Consider the following 23470-nt stretch of genomic DNA (forward strand, 5'->3'; position numbering starts at 1 on the left):
TGGAGATGCAACAATGGCACATCGCTTTGGAAAGCAGCTTGGTCATTTCTTATAAAGTATGCAAGGAAGAACAGCTCATAATTCTCAAGAGAAAATACCGAAGAAAATGGTCAAGGATGCGGTTTACATCCTCACATGTCTAAATATTGGCATTTACAGTACAAGTAAAATATCAGAAGAAGAAACTTCAGATGAGAATACAAGGCAGGAGTGGGGAGTGGACCCTGGTGGCCGCCCTCACAGTCCAACCTGTGAGCCCTTCCCTGGGAGTCTCCAGGTACAGCTTCCCTCCAGGGCTGGTTTGCCTTTTCCTGCTTCAATTCTTACCTCCCTCATCCCACTCGTCACAATGGATGCTGGAGGAGTGGTGTGGATGATCTGCTGCAGGATGCTGATATAGGTCTGAACTTCCAGAAGATTCTGTTGGGGGAGGGAAAACATTCTCATTATAAGTTGAGCTGCGCTGGTTTTTCCTTCTAGTACTAGATGAGAACAGGAATGGACACTTCCGCACGCTCCCTCATCACAGACAGGACAGACCATGACCAGGTTCAGGAGGAAGAAGAGACTGATGCATTTGCTGCCATGGGTGGGCCTGCCCACATGTGCACCATGCTCATTCCTGGCACCTCAGTCTCCTTTAATCTTCACAAGAACAACGGGGCCGATGAATAAACTAAGACTTGCCTTATTTCACTGTTTCTCTTCAGTTACATTGGTGCATTGGTCTTCACAAAGCCCTGGGTGGCGGAGGCACAAAAAAAAAAAGAGAAAAAAACCAGCCCTCACCAGACATGGTGGCTCACACCTGTACTCCCAGCACTTTGGGAGGCCAAGGCAGGTGGATTGCTTGAGCCCAGGAGTTGGAGACCAGCCTGGGCAACATAGTAAGATCCCATTTCTACAAAAAATGTTAAAATTAGCTATGTGTTGTGGTGTGCACCTGTGGTCCCAGCTACTTAGGAGGCTGAGGTAGAAGGATCACTTGAACCTGGGGGTGGGTGGAGGCTGCAGTGAGTTGTGATCACCCCACTGTACTCCAGCCTGAGTGATAGAATGAGACACCGTGTCAAAAATAAATAAGTTAAAAGGCCCTGGAGGGCACAAAGGACCCTTTCCAACACCAGCAGTGTTTCAAAGAATGGGCTTTGGTCAATCAGGCCTGGACTAAAAGACTTACTGGCTATGTGTGACCTCAGGCAAGCTATTTAAACCTCCTAAAATGCAAGTTCTTCTGTAAAACAGGGATAACTATCTGTAGGGATGCTGATCCCCTTTACCCGCCAGTGCCCCTGTCCCCAGCTCTGTAATAACAGATGACACAGCCCTCTCCAGAAAGCAGCCCTTGGCCAACAAATGGTCATCTTGTCCAGGAAGCTACCAGGCCCTGCCTCATCCCCAACCCAGGCCAACGACTGACAGCACAGGAGTACAAAAGACCAACTCTCTCAACTCCTTGAGGGACCCAGCTGTGGTGTAATTCACATTCACACTCCAGAGCTTCCTGTGGGATCATGAGAAGGCCACAGCTGGACTCCGGCTGAGGACAAGTCCTTGCTCTGCTCCCTGCCCTGTCCTGCCCTTTTCCTCCCCTTCTCAGAGCCCTCCACTAAGACATCAGTGACAAAAAATCACTACCTAGAGCTCTGCTTAGAGGAAGCCTGACCTGAGCAGTATTTCACAAGGCTGCTCTTGGGATCCAGTGAGATACTACAGGGAAGCCTCACAGTGTGAGCGATCATCATCACCGTCATCATCATCATCATCATCCTAAATGGCCTGGAAGAATTATTTGAGCTGCTTCAAAACTGGCCCAGGCACTGTTCCCAGGATTCCATCAAGTAGGGTAGAAGCAAGGAGGTGGGTGGGGAGGAGGAAATGGCTGGGCCTCATGGAAAGTTGGAGGGACCCTGATTGGAGCAGACAGGCCTGGTGTACTGATGCAGGTACACACTGAGGTAGGAAGGGAACTGGAAGTTCACTGAGCACTTGCCAAGCTCCAGGTTGTACCCATGTTCCCACATTGTCGTAGTTTGGGTTTCCCCAGAAGCAGACCCTGAGAGAGGGATCTGAGTGCAAACAGTTGACTGGGCAGTGATGCCAGGAAACATGACGGGTGGAGTGGGAAAGTGAGGCAGGAAGGGAGAGCAGTCAGCGAGGGCTATTACCAATGGATCACCACTGTGGGCACCTGGAGCTCAATCCTGGTGAGTATCTCTGGGTGCCAATGCAGAACAAAAGCCTCAGAGTTGGTCTACAAAGGCGAGAGGGAGCTGGTGTGTTTATACACCAACTCCCATCAGTTCTGGTTGAGGCTGCTCCCTGCTCCTGGGGACAGGAGTTCCCCAACACCCCACTACAGGCGGAGCAGCCTCCAGCTGCTTGGAGAAAGTCCTCAGGCAAAGCTGCAGGGATGGCAGTGGGAGGAGGCCAGAGCCCCTGGAGAGGGAAGCCCTGAGGCACCCACAGGTCTGCTACACTACTTCACCCACGTCACTGCTGGGAAGGAGAGCCTGCATTTGCATTTTGAAGAAGAAAAAGCAGCTCAGAGAGGTTAGGCCACTCACCCATAGTCAAACAGCTGCAGAATCTGATTTTTCAATTATGCCAGGGCCCCCCAGAATCAGGCCTGTGAGGAACTGTTGGAGGCTGGGGGAGTCTGAGCACTGCAGGAGAGGAAGCTCCTGAATAATGTGCTCCTGCAATTAACGGGCTCAGAGGCAGAGCTAAAAACAAGACTTTTTCATGTATTTTCTGAGCGGAAACAGTTGATGGACTGTAGCTTAATGAAGACAGATCTATATAAAATCACTTTGTAAATTATACTGTACAATATAGATACTAGTTCCCAACACCAGGGCCCTCAAAACACACCCACTACTGCCCACTCTTCAAAGCACATCTAGCTCAGTAAGCACTGTCCAGTGACCAATTCACCCCTATTTGGTTCGAGGGAAAACGCACAAAGGTATGCCACTCTAGCAGTCTGTTTTCAGCCACAGTACCCTCGGCTTACCTGATCAAACCCAAACTGGGTTTTCTAGAGGAAGGGCTTCAAGGGGTCATGATTACCTTCTTGTGCCTGTCCTTTGCCGCACTGATATCATCTTGCAGAAATTGGGCTTCCAGCTGAAGGCGTAGGTTATGCAGCAAGGCTTCATCAGCTTCCTGCAATGAGAGCCACATATCCCTGGCCACAGGCACCATGGAGCATAGGGGTAAAGCTGGCCGGGTATATGAGCACACAGACCACCTGGGAGCTTACTGAAATGCAGACTCTGGTTCAGTAGGTCTGGGAGGGGTCTGAGATTATGCATTCTAGCAAGGCAATGGCTTAGCCCATTGGACCTGTTCTAGAAGAGCAGTTCTCAACAGAGGGTGATTTTGCCCCCCAAGGGGACATTTGGCAGTGTCTAGAGACATTTTTAGTTGTCACCACTTTAGTGGTAGGGTCCTTCTATTGGCAACTAGTGGGTAGAGGCCAGGGACACTGCTAAATACCCTACAATACACAGGACAGCATCCCCCCACAACCCTGCACACAAGGAATTCCCTTGCCTAAAGGGTCAATACAGCCAGGGTTAAGTAACCTTGATCTAGAAAGATCGGAGCGCTAGGTATATTTACATACCAAATAAAGTTAATATTTAAGTAACGTCTATATTTGTTCTATATCTCATCATCAGTGAGTTGGGTTTCTAAGACTGAAAGAAAAAAATTGTTTTCCCTTAAATCCTGAAATCTGTATTCTAGCAGTTTTCTCCCAAGGACTGTTAACATTTACCTTGAGAAGATGCATCTTTCATACAAAAATGCATTTTTAGAATGACTGTTTTGTGAATAGCATTTGTTTGTTCCTCTAAGGTTGGAAACGACATTGATCACAAAAGGTTGAATTTTCTCAGGAAACTTTCTGATAATTCACTGGCTCTTGCCTCATTGATCTTGTTTGGATAGACCAAGTAGGTATGAAAGAATTATTCATGCTCTTAATAAGATTGTGCTATGATGTCCAGAAGTGACTTATATACTTTGGCATCTTCGGTGTGATATTACAGGTGAGCATTACTTGGGTTCATCAGGATTCCCCAGTCTCCCAAGATACCTCTGCCATGCACACCTGCCAACACCTGAGGCCTTGGGAAGTGAATTTTTACTGACTTATTAGTGACTTGCTAATAAACATAATGAGTCTTAGCAATGGGCTCTCATTAATCAAGGGGAACACGTGGTCTGACTAAAATATGTAAGAGACACTCTCCATACTCGCATGAACAGAGTTATGACAGTCACGATATGTGGACTGGCCATGAGATGTAGGGACACTCCCCACCCTTGTGCTACTAGGGTTTCGGTCTGGCAAGGCCTTGAGACTGCACTCTTAAGAAAGGCACTTGGGGCCGGGTGTGGTGGCTCACACCTGTAGTCCCAGCACTTTGGGAGGCTGAAGCAGGTGGATCACCTGAGGTCAGGAGTTCGAGACCAGCCTGACCAACATGGAGAACTCCATCTCTACTAAAAGTACAAAATTAGCTGGGCATGGTGGCACATGCCTGTAATCCCAGCTACTCAGGAGGCTGAGGCAGGAGAATCACTTGAACCTGGGAGGCAGAGGTTGCAGTGAGCCAAGATCATGCCATTGCACTCCAGTCTGGGCAAAAAGAGCAAAACTCCATCTCAAAAAAAATTAATTAATTAATTCAATAAAAATAAAAGGCACTTGGTTCCTTAATTGCTCTTGTGAAAGACCACTGGTGTAGTAAGATTTCTGATTGTCTGATGCTGACAAGAAGGATCCTGAAATTCTGACTCTATTGTAGCCTCTGCCTTCAATGAGCTTTCCATGCAAAGTGTTCTCTTAGCACCTAAGACACCAGAGCTGAGACTTCATGGAGCCTACAGAGAAGGTTGTATGGACCTTGGGGGCCTGCATCACAATAAATGTTAATATTTAACAAATCTCTTTCTGTGTGAATTTGGTCTAAAGCATTAGCAAGATGGTAAGGGAGTGGCCAACCCTCACCCAACTCAAACTTCTGAAGCTCTTTTATCTACCCAAGAGAACTGAAGATTTTATCTTACAGAACTTGAGAGTTGTACAAGATCAAATTAGTCAATGTGCAACCCTTAGGAATGTATCTTAAAACATTTCCTTCCTTTTCCATTAGCCACCTGCAGTGGAGCTGCCACCAAAATGCAGATTTTTGTGAAAACCCTCACAGGGAAGACCATCACCCTCAAGGTTGAACCCTCAGATACGATAGAAAATATAAAGGCCAAGACCCAGGATAAGGAAAGAATTCCTCCTGATCAGTAAAGACTGATCTTTGCTAGCAAGCAACTGGAGGATGGATGTGCTTTGTCTGACTACAACATTCAAAAGGAGTCTACTCTTCATCTTGTGTTGAGACTTCGTGGTGGTGCTAAGAAAAGGAAGAAGTCTTACACCACTCCCAAGAAGAATAAGCACAAGAGGAAGAAGATTAAGCTGGCTGTCCTGAAATACTATAAGGTAGACGAGAATGGCAAAATTAGTCACCTTCATCGAGAGTGCCCTTCTGATGAATGTGGTGCTGGAGTGTTTATGGCAAGCCACTATGACAGACATTATTGTGGCAAATGTTGTCTGACTTACTGCTTCAACAAACCAGAAGACAAGGAACTGTATGAGTTAATAAAAGACATGAACTAACAAACAAAACAAAACAAACAAACAAACAAAATCATTTCCTTTTGCGTTTCCTCCTGCCTCAGCCTCCCAAGTAGCTGGGACTACAGGTGCACACCACCACGCCCAGCTAATTTTTCTATTTTTGGTAGAAACGGGGTCTCACCATGTTGGTCAGGCTGGTCTTGAACTCCTGACCTCAGGTGATCCACCCACCGTGGCCTCCCAAAGTGCTGGGATTACAGGTGTGAGCCACCGTGCCTGGCCAACTTTAAACTTTCTAGAAGTAGCCACTTTAAATAAAATAAAAAGAAACAGGTGAAATTAATTTTAATAATATATTTTATTTTACCCAGTATACCCAAAATATTATCATGTCATCATGTAATCAATAAGTTAGTAGTGAGATATCTTCCATTCTTGTTTTCAGATGAGGTCTTTGAAACTGCTGTGTATTTTACACTCATAACACATCTCAATTCGAACTCCCCACATTGCAGGTGCTCCACAGCCACATGCGGCTGGTGGCTGCCATACTGCATGGCACGGCTCTATGGGAGCAATTTTCGGCAACGGAACATCTTGTTCCTCCTCAGTGCTCCTCCAGGTTTCTGCTGCAGGGTGAATCCCCAGGTAAGGAACTCTCGACAGAAGAAGGAAGGACACCAGTGTCCAGAGTCATTCCTCACCCCGGCCCCTGGACTCTCCTGCCTACTCTCTCCAAGGCTCCTCCTGATTCCTGGCCCTGGCACCGGGCTCCTGCTGCCACCAGCACCACTGCCCACTGGGAGAAGCAAGAGCTCCTGGGAAAACCACTCCCTTCAACAAATCTACACGTGGTCTGAAGTTTTTGGGGGTTTTTGTTTTAAATCAGAAATAAAAGAATGAACCAAATTACAAAAAGGGACACATTTTTCCAGATCCAGGACACTGAACTGTCCAAACTACAAGAATATGAAATCTAACTATGGGACTTAGCTTCTGAGCTCATTCATGTGTTTAATTAATTAGCCATTGACCTTTAACGAGCTCTGCCTTCAGGGGGTTACCATTCTGAGCCCTTAATGATGGGTCCTCACATCCTGCGACCCAGGGACAGTGAGGGAGGGTCTAATGAAAACTCAGCTATAGCGTTTCTTCTTCCAGAAGGCGTGCGCTACCCGGCCCGGGGCGATCAGACCCAGACTGATGCACTCATGCAAATCAAGGCCTTCCTACCGCAGGGGAAGTGGGCAGGCCCCTTGGAGATCCTGGTGTCTGGTCTTCTGAAATACCCAGAAGTATTTCACAAGCCTGGGAAGCCCTTTCATAAGAGAAATGGTGGAAAGGGAAGCCTGAATCTTTCCAGCAACAGAAAAGGGTGGAGGATTCAGAAAAACCCTGGTTCATTTGTAAAATACCAGCCAGACCTCAGGAAAGACGGAAACCAAGGCAGTTCCAGGAATCTAAGTAGCAGGAGTCAAGGACCTGTCCTCAGAGTGACCCAGCTCTGAATCAGTTCATCCCTGCATCCCTCCCTCAGGAGAGCTGTGATTGGCCAGCATGGGTCACATGACCACCATCTTGCCTGACAGCTGGACCACACGATGTGAAGGAAAATCACAGTGTTCCCGGACGCATCCCACTCCCTTCAAAGGCAGTGGTTCCCTGTGGAGTGATTCTCAGCCCCGGGGATGGGACCACACCCTCAGAGAGGCTTGGCTAAATCTGGGCCAGAGGTGCAGGAGTATTGGGTGGATGTTGTTCTATCTTCCCTCTGCCCCTCTTAAGACTGCTGAGGATGGGGTGGGGCACAGAATTCTCAATCACTCTTAACAAAATGCATCCAAGATTGAGCCACAAAGCTGAATGACTGGAAACAGGGCTTCAAGGACCCTTTGTGTTATTATTTATAAGGAATCAAACATTACAAATTTTAGAAATAGAAGGAACCCTGGGGTCACTGGTCCTCAAACTTTTGTTAAGCCACATGTGCCATCCTTTGAACAAAGCAGTCCATGGAAGCCACTGTACTGAAGCAAAGCCAAGGGGCCACAGGCATCTCCCATGCTCAGCTGCCCTCTTCCCTCAGAGACCCTTCAAGCAACTCGATGCAACATGAGGGCTCTGCCAAATGCACCTTGAAGTCCAGAGCCTCCCTCCATGTATGCAGGGCTGAGGCCAGACTGATGCAGTGCATCATTGAACTCGTGAATGGAAGTTAGTGGAAGATAACAGGCCTGGAACCTACCATGGGCTTCTCTCTCCTAGCCAAGAGCTGAGTGCTAAGCCCTGACTCCATCCTTCGAGGTGCCTGTCATTCTTCCCCACCTCCCTCCTAGGATTGTGTCAAAACCACCAGCACTGGGTCCCATCAGTTAAATCTTTATAACTGCTCATAGTGATAGTAAAAGGCCAGTCAATATGTATTCTTAAAATAGGGATTAAGCAGATGTTTCTGCAAGCACACTGTCCTGCTTTGAAGATAATCACCCGATAAGCTGACCCCAAAACCCCCAAAGGTGAGTAGGGCCCACTGGAATGTACAGCTGCTGATACGCTGAGGAAAATTTGTTTTGGAAGTGTTTTCTTTTGTTTGCGCCAGAACTCAGAAATGTGTAGACGCTTGTGTTTTTATTATGCTGTGGATGTTGTCAGCTGAATTTTCAAAAGCTTCACCAGCAGAATCATCTAGATTTTTCTGAATTGAGATTATGGGTCAATAGTCTAATTTTACAAAACATTCCAACTCTGATAATTGCCTATGTCCTAGATCTAGACCAGTGGTCCTCAAAGTGTGGTCCCTGGATCACAACACCTGGGAACGGATCAGAAATGCAAATACTCCAGCAGATGCCAGACCTACTGGCTTAGAATTTCTGGGGCTGGGGCCCAGGAGTCTGGGTTTTAACGTGCCCCCCCACCCCGCCCACCTTTCACCCCAGGTAACACTGATGCACACTGAAGTTTTAGAACCACTAATCTAGACTATTTACAGCCATGTTTTTAGAAAGGAGCTGGAGAAATAACTAGAATTTGGAGCATTATTGAAAATCAGCCCTTTTTTAACTCAAATGGTGGGGATTAAAAAGGAAAAAAAACAGCCTTGCTGACCTATTCACAGGGATCCCAGAAACTCCATTTAAAACCCAACTGCTAAAGAATGGGTATTTAAGTTCATTAAGAGTTCTAGTTAGCTGGAATTTAATTAAAAAACACTTTTCCTTCAACTCTGGATGTCAAAAACCTTTCCAAAAATGTTATGGCTGTTCTTCCAGGTGCTAATGTTGGCCTGGAGGGCACTGGACAAATTCTACATCTCTCCACCCTCTCTCTTGCCTCTGCCTCAGTCTCCTCAACTTTGCTGTCTCTCCCTTTGCATTCATCCTGACTCTTCCTCCACTCCTCTTGCCTCTCCACCCCCAGACTCCTCCTCTTCCTTCCCAGTTTCCTCTCCTTCTCTTCTCCGGAAGTTCATTTCCGGGCTCAGAGGAATTCTTGGCATACAAAGGCATAGCCCTGAAGGTAGGGCTTCATGCCTGCACCATTTTATCCCCTAAACTCCCTGGCCTCTTGCTGCTTTCCACAGGCACGTTTAAGAGACACATGAATTACATGAAAAAGTATATATGTCAGCCTTTAAATATTTTTAAAATTGTTTTTAAGTGAAAGCATTTGACTAGAAACCACATCATTTTAAAATTCTGGGAATTTTAAAGAGAAAAGGAGAGGGAGATTTTAAAGTCTGCTGCTTACAGTTTCCTCAAGATAAGCAAATCAGGCATCATAGCAGACCAGTAACTTCATACGTATATATTTGGTGACCATGAGATCTAGAAGTTAGCAAACCCAAATATTTTAAAGTCACCTGGAATTCCTACTACATCAAAAGGCTGAGAAGTTGAATAACTTTGGCCATAGGTTGTAGGTAACGTGTTGAGGAGTTTACTTCACTTCTAAGTGCACAGCAAAGAGTGGCCTACTATAATTTATCTGGCTGATAAAACTACAGGAGCTCTTTCCGTAGGCTTGATTACACGGGCAGCATGAAGAAATGCATGGTGGTTTTGTGAAGGCAGGGGCCATCAGTCCTTTCACATACACTGCAATATCCTCCAAGTAGGATGCAAAGACTGGATCAGTGATGTCCCACGGCCACACCCAGGGATGAATCCCTTCCACAAGTCAGACCAAAGGAAATGGCCACTGAGACTGAGCTAAAACCTCGTTGATCTGATGTAAGAAAATACCCAAAACCTGCAGGCCAAAATCACTCACACGACCAGCTGATGCGATGTGAATTTTAGCCTCTTTCATGTCATCTGATGATCTCAGCAGAGAACAAAAAGGTCCAGTGTTCACCTGGCCCTGCCCTTGAGGGACTATTTGGGTTCTCCAGAAGTGGACCCCAAGGCAAAGACTGGGTACCTGTGGCTTATCTGGGAGGTGATCCCAGGAAGCACAGGTAAGGGAGGCTAGTGAGCCAGAGAAGGAAACAAAACCAATGAAGGAATGTGACGAGCAGGTTGCCATTGTAGACAGCTCAGTACGGCTGGGGTCCCTCTGAGGGACCATGTGGAATGTGGCTCTGAACCATCACTATGAGGGGTGGGGAACTTATCCACCTATCCCAGTCCACAGCAACTGAGGGTTGTTCCTGGGGTGTTAACACCCAGCGCTTCTGGACTATACTGATGTGGGCCATGCATGTTCCCAGAGCCCGAGATGCAGGCAGTGATCAGGGTGTTCAGCGTGTCTGAGTGACCACTGGCATGGCCCAAGGTGTGTGGACAGGACACCAACATCAAGGTCCATGGGGCCACCTATAGCCGAGAACTCTCTGGCTTCGTGTCTGGCCTCTGAGTAATACCGGTTCCCTGACTATTCTTTGGAGGTAGAGAATGAACCACAAATACAAAAGACCCCAACTCCTGTCTACACTTACCACGGCTGAGCTGCGAGGCTCTGAAGTCATTTAACCTCATCAAGGGTGAGTTTCCTCACTGGCCCAGAGAAGGATTTGGAATAGGTCATTTCTGAGAATAAAACCTGCCCCCCCAATAACCACGGGCTGTTCTGAGGCTCCCACAGGCTTGCACAAGGCCCTCCCCAGCGTCCTGCATCTGCCTGCTGTGTTTATGATTTCTACTATTATCCAAGGACCACCTGCATCTTATTCACTCTGTATTTGTCTTTAAAGGTACTCATTCTTACGTAGGTTTATTTGGAAAGGAATATTTTATGTCATCCGCTGTAAATAACAGGTAATCATAAAAAATTCACAACTATTAAATATCACTCCTCCATGCACTTTCTAAAGTCACCTCCCATTTCAACAGGGTTCTGCACCCACACTGTGGAGAAAACCAAGCTGGTGTCTGTCACATCAAGTGCTCTGTAGTAATAACAGTGATCAGGGATTCAGCACCACCAGGTGATGGGCAAGTCATATACATTATTACATCATTTAGTTCTCACTAGGCACTTTCACTCCTATGGTGGGTGGGGAGTATTGTGATTCCATTTCACAGATGAAAAAACCGAGGCTCAGAGGGACAAGGCAATTGGCCCACAGTCTCACAGATGCTCAGCTGTAGCAGGAGGTTCCTAGTCACAGGCTACACTCCTCGCTGGGGCTCTGCAGCTCACCTGCGGGCAGTACTGTCTTACTTGGACCCAGGGGCCAGTCATGCTAATTGCCTGTGCTGGTCTCACCCACATTCTTGGTAGCATCTTTCCCCAGAACCTTCATAATATTCTTACAGGGCTGATACTTCAAATGTCCACACTCTATGTCACAATATACATGAAGGTGTATTATGCGATGCCTTTTCCTTATTTTTCGTTATCTATGTTGCCTTATTTTTTCTACTGAGAATATGGATTGCTTTTGTAAAAAGAGAAAAACAACAGAAAGTTTAAGCTTGTTTTTTAAATTCACTGTCATTTTCCATCAAGGGTAAAAGAGGAACCCCATTCTTTCTCCCCTTTATTTGAAGAGTACCCAGGATGGCACTGCGTGAGTGACAAGTGAGGACAGATGCTCACAAAGCAACATGTGGAAGTGTTGGGGAGAGGGCCTCGGAGGGCCTGAGGGGTGCTGTGAAGGGTGCTGGGTCCCCGTGTCTGAAGGCCATGTTCTGGCAGTCTGAGGTTGCACAAAACAGAAGAATGGGGATGAGCTACAGGTGTCAGCAGAATAGCAGAGTGATGTCAGACACTAATAAGGCCCAACTCCCAGCTCAGATGTCCAACAGGCTCGAGGCCATCGTTTTCCAAGCCAACTATTGAGCGTGTGTCCTCAGGGCCTTCCTGAAGTGCATTCTCACTGCCATCTCTGTGTTTCTATCTAGGGTGCCCAAGTGTCCTACTAGCTGTCCTGAGAGTCCCAGCCTGCATTGACTGACCTGTGTTATTACAAACTGCACCCTCTTTTGCACACTGTCCTGGTTTGAACATATCATACGTGCTCACGCGCAGAGGGGCAGGTAACATAGACAAAGCAAAATTGGGTTTCCCCTAGATTCTAGTTCTGATTTTCCCCTCAACCAGCAGAGTAATCCTAGACAGCAAAGGCTGGACAAAGTGAAGGGATGGCAAACATCCGGCGCTAACCCTGACTGTCCAAAGAGGCTGCTTGGAGTTCCATGTGGCAAAGAAGCCTAAAGCATACCTGGGCATGGCAGGGAAGAGTCTGCGGTTTTGTCAGCAATTTTGATGAGTTGTAGGCATGGAAGGGGCGGGGAAGGGCAGCCCATGTGCCCTAATCAAGCAGCCTTTCCACTAAATAGTCTCCATGGGTCGTTCTGCTCTGACATTGGAGCTCAAAAACGATCAGAAAAGGGCCATGCTTAAAGCTATGTGCCATCCCTGGTTCTGTACAACCCTGGTGGTCCAGAATCATTCTGCTTTTTGGTGGTGGGATTCTCCCAGCAAAAGCAGAAAATCCAATCAGTTAGTTAGAATCATGATGAAGAATCCCAAGAAGGAAATCACCACTGTTCTGTAAAGAGCAACTCCACATAACCCTGCAGGAAAGTCAAGTGGCTAAGAACCCCTGGCATCTCCCCTGGGGCTATTGGTCACGCTATAAGAGGGAACTCTAGAGGAAATAGAAATTTCTTCCTCTGTTATCTTGAGACTTCTGTGGAGCCGCAATCTCAAAACTCTTAGCCAATAGGACAGAGGTATCACTGTGTCCAAATAACCACTGCCCAAAGCAAGGTCCTTCCTAAATTTGGTGTTGGGCATCAGTATGTCTGACAAGTAAAACAGCAGCTTGTCACTGTAACGCCGGCAGGTTTTGCTAGCCTAGCATAACCAACAAGCTTCATAGTCTGTGTTTCTCTCGTGAGAGAGGGGTGTGTGTATGGGTGTGTGAGTTCACTCATAAAGACTCAATTGAAATTAACAAGTCAAGAGACAGAGTGACTGCAAAAGAAGTAGTGACCGCCAAAGTAACACAAAGAGGAAGCCTGTAAAACCTGCACTTCCACCATTCCATTCAACACTGTAATTAAGCTACGTAAACCCAAGGATGTGTTCCGCTCACCTTGTTAAGCCGTTCAAGCATTTCTTTTAGCAGGAGTTGACATTCGCACTCATTTTCATACCTGCAAATTGGACACATAAGTGAGAGTTGGGTAACTACCATGCTTTCACATGTATGGATCACATAATCAGCATTAAATTCAACCTGGGTACGATGCCCTCTCCTTTAAGGAGAGGGTCTTAATTTTAAAGTAGTAGCTAACGAATGCTGCATTTCCTAGCTGACTGCCTCCCAATCAGAAAGTGGTACCATTTGCACACCGCGTGGGGTAACCAGGGGCAGTTAGCGGAATAGGAGTCTCCCAGCCCGAAGGCACCAACCCCAGCCCCTACAGCCTTATTCCCAGCCACCCCAAGGATGAGGGAATTATATCCTAGCCTATCTATAACCCAAGTGCAGCAGTGGCAGAGATGGGAGACTGCCCTGCACAATCTACACCACCATTAACCTGACCGTACTTGGATTTCCTATAGTATTTTATTTGCTGACACATGTAATTTGTCAGTTTTTCTGGATTATGTCATTTAATCCTTACATCACCCCAGAAGAAAGCAGTTATTGTTAGTGCTGCATTAAAGATGAGGAAACTCAGGCAGATGCTCCGCACACTTTTCCCTCCTCCCAGCAGCATCACTCCCCACACAGCGATGGCCTCCTCTGGGCAAATGGGTGGGGCAGGCTGGACGTGCCAGGGAGTCAGGGCCTCTGGGAGCAGCCCACAAACTCTGAATGAGGCAAATTGGAGCATAAGTACCCCAGCTCCTTTTCTGCTCGGCTGGGACAACTGAGGCACGTCCCTCTGGGGGAATTTTAACCCTAAAGAGAGAAGATTCCTTCCTAAATGACCCCTCCCCTTGTTCCCTATAAGGTGACCCCCAAATGCCCATTCTTGCTGTCTTCAGGAGTTAGAGCCCTTGATGCTTGGCAAGCACAGGACTGCCTAGAAGGGAGACTACATTTTCCAGCATTCCTTGCAGCCAGGTGTGGCCATGTGACTAAGTCCTGACCAATGGGATGGAAGCATAAGTCTGCATGGCAGCTTCCAGATACCTTTAGTTAAGTAATGGTGTATGTGTGCCCTTTGCTTCTCATTTTCCATCCCTCCCTCCATCCTGCAGCCAGAAACATGAATGCTGCCTTCCTGAAGGCCACACAGAACCTTCTGTGTCCCAAATACTGTACAGTATCATACTAAACTGCTTAACCAGACCTTACACAAGTGAGAAACATTTTGGATAAGCCAATGACATTTTGGGTAAGCCAGTATCACTTTTTCTGTTTTTTTCTGTATGGCGGGGGGGGGGGGGGGGGGGCTGGTAAAATATGCATAACATAAAATTTACCAACTTAACCATTTTAAGTATATAGTTTGTGATAGTAAATATATTCATAATGTTGTGAAATCACCACCAACATCCATCTCTGTAACTCCTCATCTTGCAAAGCAGAAACTCCGTACCCATTAAATACTAACTCCCCATTCTCCCCATCCCCAGCCCTGACAACCACCATTGTACTTTCTGTCTCTATGAATTTGACACGCCCAACTACCTTATGTAAGTGGAATCATACAATATTTTTCTTTCTGTGACTGGCTTGTTTCACTTAGCATAATGTCTTCAAGTTTCAACCATATTGTAGCATATGTCAGAATTACCTTCCTTTTTAAGGGTGTATAATATTCTATGTATCGACCACATTTTGTTTACGTATTCCTTTGTCAGTGGACACTTGGGTTGCTTCTACATTTTAGCTATTGTGAACAGTGCTGTTATGAACACGTATATGCAAGTAGCTATTCAAAACCCTCTTTCAATTCTTTTGGGTATATGCACAGAAATGGAAATGTTGCATCATATGGTAACTCTATTTTTTAATTTTTTGAGGAACTGCCATACTGTTTTCCACAATGGCTGTACCATTTTACAGTCCCATCAACAGTCCATAATTTCTCCACATCCTAACAAACACTTATTTTCTGTTGTTTTTTGTTTTGTTTTGTTTTTTATAGTTGCCATCCTAATTGGTCTGAAGTGGGTCAATGTCAGTTTGGAGTTTCTGTCCTTTATAGTTGAAAGCAATCCTAATTAACACTGAGCCCAATCCACAAAGCATAGTTTTCTGTGCCCTTGCATGCCCATGCCATGGGTTCAAGTCAAGTATTCTGCAACCATGAAAGGTGCTAGAAAACCACACCACCATGTTCTCAGAAGGAAAAGTCATGAACTGAAGGAAGAACAATTATGAATATGTGCAATGTGCACGCATTCCCAGATCTAAAACCATCTGCGAAGCTGAGTTCTATCTAGGAAACTAAACATCTCTGCATAAGTTTTACATTTCACATCAGGATGTTACATTTAGTAGTTTATTTTGTGTGTTGCAATAACAGAGCCAGAAATTAGTTTTTAAATGTATAATTAGCTTTGAGAATAAAACTTAATAAAATCTAATTTTCTTATTGCTCTTTCCTGCTGGAAATATCTAAGAGTTTCCATAGCTTAAGAACATGTTTGAGGATCAACACATTAACCTGATATTGTGAGTAATTTTCATGCTGTAAAGACAAGTCTAGATATTATATTAAAGAGAAGTGATTTCCGGGCGCGGTGGCTCACGCCTGTAATCCCAGCACTTTAGGAGGCCGAGGCGGGCAGATCACGAGGTCAGGAGATCGAGACCATCCTGGCTAACACGGTGAAACCCTGTCTCTACTAAAAATACAAAAAAATTAGCAGGGTGTGGTAGTGGGCGCCTGTAGTCCCAGCTACTTAGGAGGCTGAGGCAGGAGAATAGCGTGAACCCAGGAGGCAGAGCTTGCAGTGAGCCGAGATCACGCCACTGCACTCCAGGCTGGGTGACAGAGCGAGACTCTGTATCAAAAAAAATAATAAAATAAAATAAGAGAGAGAGAGAGAGTGATTTCACTACAAAGAATTCATGATGTGTATATTCATATAAGTATATTCATAAAGTGAAAAAACTGGCTTCAATTAACTGTTTTACATAAATTATTTTTAGTTTTCAACAATTTGAATAATTGACTCTGTTGTTGTATTTTGATAGTTTTGTTTTTATTTCATTCTTGTTTTATTCAGTGTTTTGTTTAGTCTTTGACCTGTTAAAGACCTGATTTTGAAATTATTCAACTGCCAGGTAGAGACTATGCCTAGCACTGGCATGGAACCAAGCCTGCACATACTAACCCATTGCTGCATTATTTTCCCCTGGCTTTAGGTAGCCATCAACTCACCTCTGGAATGTAAACTCCAGCCTGGCATGTATGTGTATGTGTGTGTGCCTATGGATGTGGATGAGCATTTCTATAATGATTTTCAGTTCCCACTACCACAATCCAAATGTCAAAACTTCTCCAAGGGGGCAAAGGGAGGGAATAAATTAATATGAATTTTAAATAAATCACAGAGCCTGATGGAACTGCTTCATGATGGGCATATAACTCAGAACCAAGTGCAATCAGTAAAGACCAGGAAAACCCAACATGGCCTTTCCTTCAACTAGGACTCATGGATGTCATGCTTACCAGCCAAAGTACAGTAGACTATGGTCTAATGCCAACACAAAGGCCATCCAGGGAATCTTGATGGTCCATCAAGCTGCCCCGGATGTCTGAGCCACAGGGCACTTTCCCCCTTTGCTTTGGAGAACATGAGCTTCATCTGAATGAGGTCCTATTTCTGGGCCTTAGGCTGCAGGAGTCCAAGAACGGATTATCTCAAGATACAGTGTTCCCGAAAGAGCATAGGCCCAGGGTGAGAAAACCCAGGTTCAAGTTCTGCCACCCACAGGCCCTCTCCCAGGCTCAGTTTCCCCATGAAGTTCTGTAACAAGTGGATTTTCAGGTCCCTTCTACCAGCTCCAAGTCTGTTTCTACAGATTAAACCCCAAGACAAAAGAGCTGACAGGAATCGAATCAATAAATGTGATTTGATAAATGTGTTCAGAACACAACAATGAATAACCTGCCCAAGATTCAGATTGAGAAACTGGAACTCAAACATAGAGCAGGTTTACAGAAATCCTCTGACTACCCTATGCCAAGGGTTCCCAAATCTGGCTGGAATGACCAGTGGCACTCATTAAAAATGTTTAAGCTTCTGGGCCCCTCTTGAGGTCCAGGGTAGAGCCTAGACATCTGTATTTTAAAATTCATTTATGTAATTTTAAATGGATGAATATCTTACATGGTTAAATAAGTGTGTGTGTGTGTGTGTGTGTGTGTGAGACAGAGTCTCACTCTGTCACCCAGGCTGGAGTGCAGTGGCGCAATCTCAGCTCACTGCAGCCTCCGCCTCCCAGATTCAAGTGATTCTCCTGCCTCAGCCTCCCGGGTAGCTGGAACTACAGGCGTGTGCCACTACACCCAGCTAATTTTTGTATTTTTTAAAGTAGACACAGGGTTTCACAATGTTGGCCAGGCTGGTCTGGAACTCCTGACCTCAAGTGTTCTGCCTGCCTTGGCCTCCCAAAGTGCTGGGATTACAGGCGTGAGCCACTGCACCCAGCCCATAGTTAAATAATTTTTTTAAAGATATAAAAAGATGTTCTGTTAAAAGTCTCCTTCCCACCTCTGTCTCCCAATTGCTCAGTTCCTACTCACTTATCTCCCTCAGGTAGCCAGTGTCATTGGGGCATGTGCCTGTGTGTGTGTCTGTGTGTGTGTGTCTTTGTGTGTGTCCTGAAATTCTTTTTATGCAAGCAAAAAAAAAACTCTACTCTCCTCCCCTTTTAAAAGACTACATGACAATAACATACTTTTTTCCACTGCATAGTATTCCATTACATGGAGGAAGCACCTGTCTCCTTTTAATGGGCATTTATTTGGTTCCAGGCTTATTGCAGATCCTGCTGCAGTGAGTATCTTTGCAGGCATGCCATTGCACACCTGCTGGAGTGTACCTGTTGCAGTGAGTATCTTTGCAGCCATGCCATTGCACACCTGCTGGAGTGTACCTGCTGCAGTATTGGTGGAGGCATGCCATTGCACACCTGCTGGAGTGCATCCTATAATACATTCCTCAAAGTAGCCTTCTGAGTCAAAGAGCACACACATTTATAACTTGAAAAAATGTTGACAAATTGCATCTTTTTTTTAACAGCTCCTATGTGATTTTAACACATTACTCAATCTGTGGGAGGGGAGACCATGCCCTGGACCAGTGCTGCTTAGTCAACATTTAACTTTTTAAACTGAAAATCACCTGGGGAGCTTGTTAAAATGCAGATTCTGATTCTGGAGTTCTAGGGTGGGCCCAAGAATCTGTATTTCTAGCAAACTCCCGGGTGATGCCAATACTGCTGGTCCATGGACCGCACTTTGAGTATCAAGACACTAGAGGACACATACTGAGCATAATTCCCAGGTGTCAGCTGCTATGCCATGAAGGCAATTAGACTTAGCATGCCCAGGACCTAAATTCCAGTCCCGGGACAGCAGTTCGCCAGCTGAGGGGCCTTGCTGGCCAAATCCCTACATTTTCTGAGCCTCAGTCGCCTCATCTGTAAAACAGGTGCAGTAAAGATAAGTATGTAAGGATTAAATAACATCGGTACATCTCAAAACCAATGTGCTGAGCAAAAGAAGCCAGACAATAGAGTACATCCCGTAAGATTCTATTTTTGTGGAACTGTAGAATAGGCAAAGTCAATCTATGGTGATAGAAATCAGAATGGGTGCCTCCGGTCTGGGGCAAAGGGGACTGACTGGGAAAGGGGAGGAGGGAACTTTCAGGGGTAGTGGAAATATCTCACTTGTTTTCGTGGTAACACGGGTATATACATTTGTCAAAACTCACTGAACTATGCACTTCAAATCTGTGCATTTTATAACATGTAAGTTATACCAAAATTTAAAAATAGATGAAAAGTAAATGATACAACTTCGTGTAAACTGTGACGTGCCATCAAAACAGAAGCCAGTCTTAGCTTAAGGAAATGTGCCACCTGCGTGCAGGGATGAGGTCATCGATCGACAGGGGACCAGAGACGGCGCTCCACCCCTGCATGGTAGCAGCGTGCTCCCAGCCCCGCGCCGCCGGGACGGCCCACGCCCTGCCTCGGTTTCCCCCGATGGCCGCCGCTTACTTGCTTCGGAACTCGTCGAGCGCGCGCTGCGCCTCGGTGCCCTGGCGCTCCAGCCGGGCGCGCTCGGCCTCCAGGTCCCGGACGCGCTGGCGGTTGCTCTCGACTTGGCGGGCGAGGGCGTCCTCGGGCCCGGCCAGCTCGCCCAGGCGCTGGAAGGCATCCAGCTGCCTCCGGAGCCCGGCATGGCGCTGCTCGAGGGCGCGGGCCCGCTGGACGTGGGCGGCCACGCGCTCGCCGAGCCCCTGCAGCGCCGCCAGGCTCGTTGCCCCAGCCCAGCCCTCGTCGGCCGGGCGCTCGGGCTCGGCGGCGCGCGAAGCCTCGTCGGCGTGCTCGTACTGCTCCTTGCGGGTCTGGAAGACGTAGCTGCGCCGGTACATGGCTGCTCTGGCGCGGGCGCGCGGGCGGCGCCGAGCCGGCTCTCCAGGAGGCCCCCGGCGCAGCCCGCAGCCCGCTAAATAAACACCGGAGGCCCCCGGCGCGCTGCTGGGACGTTCCAGAGCCGATCAGCAGTTGGGCGCCACGCTGGGCCCGGGCGCGGGAGAAGAAAAGAGCAGCGGCCCGCTTTGTGCGGCGGATTAGCGGCCCATACAGCTCCGGGGTTGGAAGGTTACGCTGGGCAATGAGGTTTTTGTTCCGTGATTGTTCAGGCCTGTTGCTTTTGATTGAATGGAGGGTCAGGGGACACGGGAGCCATGACGCTCTTTTCACTGGTTCCACTGGGGACTGTGAAGGAATCCCCAAGCGAACTCTTTAAACTTGGACTAGCTCAAGAGCCCAGGGCTTGTCACTTTGTCTCCTCTTGCATTCAAACTCAATTGTAGAACTCTTTAACAATGCCATTTTTTTTTTCTGATTACTTAAGCAATTCTTTTTTTTTTCTTTTGGTCTTTTTTATTTCCAATTGCTCGGTTATGCATGCAATTCTTTTTCATAATCATAACATGACGTTTAGGACCCTTCTGTATAGCAGAGGTTCTTAACCATGGATGCAAAATAAAATGGCATGTCTCCATTAAGTAGTGAGGTGTGGCGCAAGTAATTTCTTAGTAATACCCGTGCATAAAAGCCTACAATAACTTAGGAGACATGCACGGTTATGTTTTTATAATTCACCCATGCTCTGATGGAGTTTGACATGCTTTCTTGAATGGAAAAAACAAATAGAGCCCCACCCATGGGCCTGTAATAGGTGGTTCACGCCTGTAATCCTAGCACTTTGGGAGGCCGAGGCGGGCGGATCACCTGAGTTCGAGGCCAGCCTGGCCAACATGGTGAAACTCCGTCTCTACTAAAAATACCAAAATTAGCCAGGCGTGGTGGCGTGTGCCAGTAATCCCAGCTACCTGGGAGGCTGAGGCAGGAGAATCGCTGGAACCTGGGAGGCGGAGGCTGCAGTGAGCCGAGATCGCCCCACTGCACTCCAGCCTGGGTAACAGAGTGAGACTCCGTCTCAAAAAAAAAAAAAAAAAGAAAAAGAAAAAAAGATTGCTTTTTTCTTTTTCTTTTTTTAACATAAAATGTAATACAAAAAAATTTTAATAAAAAATGAGATGGGGTCTTGCTATGTTGCCCAGGCAGGACTCAAACTCCTGGGCTCAAGTGATCCGCCATTAATTGGCCAACCCTCAATTCGAGAATAATAAAGGATTTTGTGCCATTATGTTCCATTTTAATTTTTATTATGGAACTAATAGTTGGATTTTAAGGACAAGCTTTTAAAATATATATATATAATTAATAGCTAGACTTTGACAAATTTAAAAGTAAATTTAAGAAAAGAAATTAATACCACTTGATGAGAATGTTTCTGAATGTAAATATTTTGTCATATCTCCAACTTTAAAAATAAGTATCAAAAGGGTTGTTTTCTTAAAAGGATTAGTAGTACCATATAATTACTAACTATATGGATTGTGTGTGATTATACTACAAATTAAAGTCATAGTTATCAAAGATAGAGAAAGAAAATTACACAGATCTTTGTGGAGTTTATTATTACACCAAAATATTACCTCAAGATAATAGATTCCGTCTGGAATAAAGCTCTGCAAGGCCCTAAACTGTGCTGGTGGCATGGTTATTGTTCTATTTTCTTAAACCATTTAAAATTAGATTTGGCCAGGTGCAGTGGACCACACCTCTAATCCAGAACTTTGGGAGGCCAAAGTGGGAGGATCTCTTGAGGCCAGGAGTTCAAGACGAGCCTTGGCAACATAGTGAGACCCCCATTTCTTTTATTTATAAAAATAAAAATAATAAATAAAAATACATAAAATGTAATTGTATGGTCAAATTGAGGATAACCACATGAATATTTTTGTAGGTGCACATATACCATGCTGATAGCATGGTAAATTGACTTCAGGCTTCCTCACGAGAGCAAAACCAACATATAGCAAGAGTTATAAAATCATTTGTTCCCTATGATACCATGTATCAGTCAAATATTGCTACAGAACAAAATAGAAGTATTTATCACTGCATTCCCTGGGGCTGGGAGCTCAGCTGTCTTCCAGCTGTAGGTCTCCTTTCAGCAGGGGCTGCTCTGCTCCCAATGTCCCTCAAGCTTCTAAACTAGCAATGAAAAAAGCACAAGAGCAAGCCCAGCCACACAAGCTCATCCCAGGCCTTTGTTTGCATCATGTCTGCTGACATCTCATTGGTCAAAGCAAATCACATGGCCACAAATAAAGTCAAGAGGAAGCAAGGAGGAGGCAGGGCTCAGCCTGAGGCCCTGGCAAGGGTGTGGGTGGATAATCCCATCATGCTGGAGTGGAGAATCAGGACCCACAACTCAATCGACCACACATGGCAATACCATTTGAGAAAAATATATTCTAGAAACATAACAAAAAATTCTTTCAATTTAATCCAGTGAAATAAACACTCAGAAAATATCTCCTCACAAAGCGTAGCCTCAGAGTTAAATATTGCACAAAATCAAGTCTCTGCCCTCAGGGTGCAGGAGGCGAATCCATACTGACTAATGAAAACACAAGATAATCTGGACAACTTCTAAAATAAAGATCTTAGCAAAATGCTGTGGTTGTATTGTCTAACTTCAGGTGCACTGGGAAATGCAATCCTGCTATGTGCTTAGAAGGAGTGTGCAATATTTGTCAACAGCCCTAAAGACCATATCACTGATAGGAGACCATTCAGTAGGAGTAGAGATCGTATGCATAAGGAAGAAATCATTGCTGAATGAATTTGTTAATTCAAGAGACATGTTCGTAGAGATAGATTCCACAGGACTTGATGAAAGGTCAGCTATGGAAGAGTTACTCTAAATACAGTTGAATGGCACTAGTTTGGGGGCAGGGACAGGAAATGGATGTTTTAGAATAAGAAAGATCTGAGGTTAAGTTCTGGTCCCATCACTTCAGTAAGTGATTTAACCTATCTAGTCCCAGTATGGAGACTGGTAAAATGAGAATAATCACTTATGTAAGTAGGGTAACCACACATCCCAGTTTGCCTAAGACACATTTACACCCACTATCTCAGCGTAAATATAGCAAGCACCATCTTTCACTCTCAAGGGTATCTTGGTTTGTCTGAGAAATACACGTCTTTTATCTGGCCTGCATAACCTGAATATGTAGCCTATATCTGACCATAAGGAATCATCCAGATAAATCCCAAAGAAGGAACATCCTATTAATAAAAACAGAAGGGGGATGGTATTCTATAAAAATGTTAATATCATAAAAGACAAAGAGAAGCTATGAAAATGTTCCAGATTAAAGGAGACTGAAGAGACAGGACATCTAAATGCAGTATAGGGCCGAGTGTGGTGGCTCATGCCTGTAATCCTAGCACTTTGGAGGCTGAGGTGGGTGGATCATCTGAGGTCAGGAGTTCGAGACCAGCCTGGCCAACATGGTGAAACCCCATCTCTACTAATAATACAAAAAATTAGCCGGACGTCGTGGCTTGTGCCTGTAGTCCCAGCTACTCGGGAGGCTGAGACATGAGAATTCCTTGAATCCGGAGGGGTAGAGGTTGCAGTGAGCCAATATCACGCCACTGCACTCCAACCTAGGTGACAGAGTGAGACTCCATCTCAAAAATAAAAATAAATAAATAAATGCAATATGGATCCTAGACTGGATCTTGTATTGGAGGAGAAAAACTGCTATAAAGGTTATCACTAGGTTCATTAA

General features: G+C 45.7%; 1 protein-coding gene and 1 pseudogene across 6 annotated transcripts in view, besides 7 other annotated features; one reads left to right on the forward strand and one right to left on the reverse strand.

Annotated features, from left to right (window-relative positions):
- The window catches only part of BFSP1 (beaded filament structural protein 1), a 75316-nt gene that overhangs the window by 17744 nt on the left and 34102 nt on the right, over window positions 1-23470 (reverse strand). For 4 of the 6 annotated variants that reach the window (NM_001278608.2, NM_001278607.2, NM_001161705.2 and 1 more), the window contains 3 exons: window positions 13200-13260; window positions 3073-3168; window positions 328-420 (listed from right to left, as the gene is read on the reverse strand). In NM_001278608.2, coding sequence (NP_001265537.1) covers window positions 328-420; window positions 3073-3168; window positions 13200-13220 — 210 coding nt within the window. In that variant the 5' untranslated portion in view covers window positions 13221-13260. Of the gene's footprint in view, window positions 1-327; window positions 421-3072; window positions 3169-13199; window positions 13261-19304; window positions 19732-23470 lie in introns of those variants that run through there. The other 2 variants (NM_001424338.1, NM_001195.5) reach the window with 1 other exon arrangement.
- On the forward strand, window positions 5145-5694 carry RPS27AP2 (RPS27A pseudogene 2; annotated as a pseudogene).
- Window positions 18991-19531: an enhancer, noted in NCBI's record as "H3K27ac hESC enhancer chr20:17511284-17511824 (GRCh37/hg19 assembly coordinates)". NCBI's record gives its function as "activates a minimal SCP1, AML or CMV promoter by ChIP-STARR-seq in naive and primed H9 embryonic stem cells {active_cell/tissue: H9 hESC(naive and primed)}" and the evidence as "EXISTENCE:reporter gene assay evidence [ECO:0000049][PMID:30033119]".
- Window positions 18991-20071: a biological region, named in NCBI's record as "hESC enhancers GRCh37_chr20:17511284-17511824 and GRCh37_chr20:17511825-17512364".
- Window positions 19226-19275: a silencer, noted in NCBI's record as "silent region_12685". NCBI's record gives its function as "represses an Ori minimal core promoter by ATAC-STARR-seq in GM12878 lymphoblastoid cells {active_cell/tissue: GM12878}" and the evidence as "EXISTENCE:reporter gene assay evidence [ECO:0000049][PMID:35858748]".
- Window positions 19296-19625: a silencer, noted in NCBI's record as "silent region_12686". NCBI's record gives its function as "represses an Ori minimal core promoter by ATAC-STARR-seq in GM12878 lymphoblastoid cells {active_cell/tissue: GM12878}" and the evidence as "EXISTENCE:reporter gene assay evidence [ECO:0000049][PMID:35858748]".
- Window positions 19532-20071: an enhancer, noted in NCBI's record as "OCT4-NANOG-H3K27ac hESC enhancer chr20:17511825-17512364 (GRCh37/hg19 assembly coordinates)". NCBI's record gives its function as "activates a minimal SCP1, AML or CMV promoter by ChIP-STARR-seq in naive H9 embryonic stem cells {active_cell/tissue: H9 hESC(naive)}" and the evidence as "EXISTENCE:reporter gene assay evidence [ECO:0000049][PMID:30033119]".
- Window positions 19746-19795: a silencer, noted in NCBI's record as "silent region_12687". NCBI's record gives its function as "represses an Ori minimal core promoter by ATAC-STARR-seq in GM12878 lymphoblastoid cells {active_cell/tissue: GM12878}" and the evidence as "EXISTENCE:reporter gene assay evidence [ECO:0000049][PMID:35858748]".
- Window positions 21885-21944: an enhancer, noted in NCBI's record as "active region_17564". NCBI's record gives its function as "activates an Ori minimal core promoter by ATAC-STARR-seq in GM12878 lymphoblastoid cells {active_cell/tissue: GM12878}" and the evidence as "EXISTENCE:reporter gene assay evidence [ECO:0000049][PMID:35858748]".

The sequence above is a fragment of the Homo sapiens genome, chromosome 20 (genome assembly GCF_000001405.40).
Source record: "Homo sapiens chromosome 20, GRCh38.p14 Primary Assembly".
Lineage (NCBI taxonomy): Eukaryota > Metazoa > Chordata > Mammalia > Primates > Hominidae > Homo > Homo sapiens.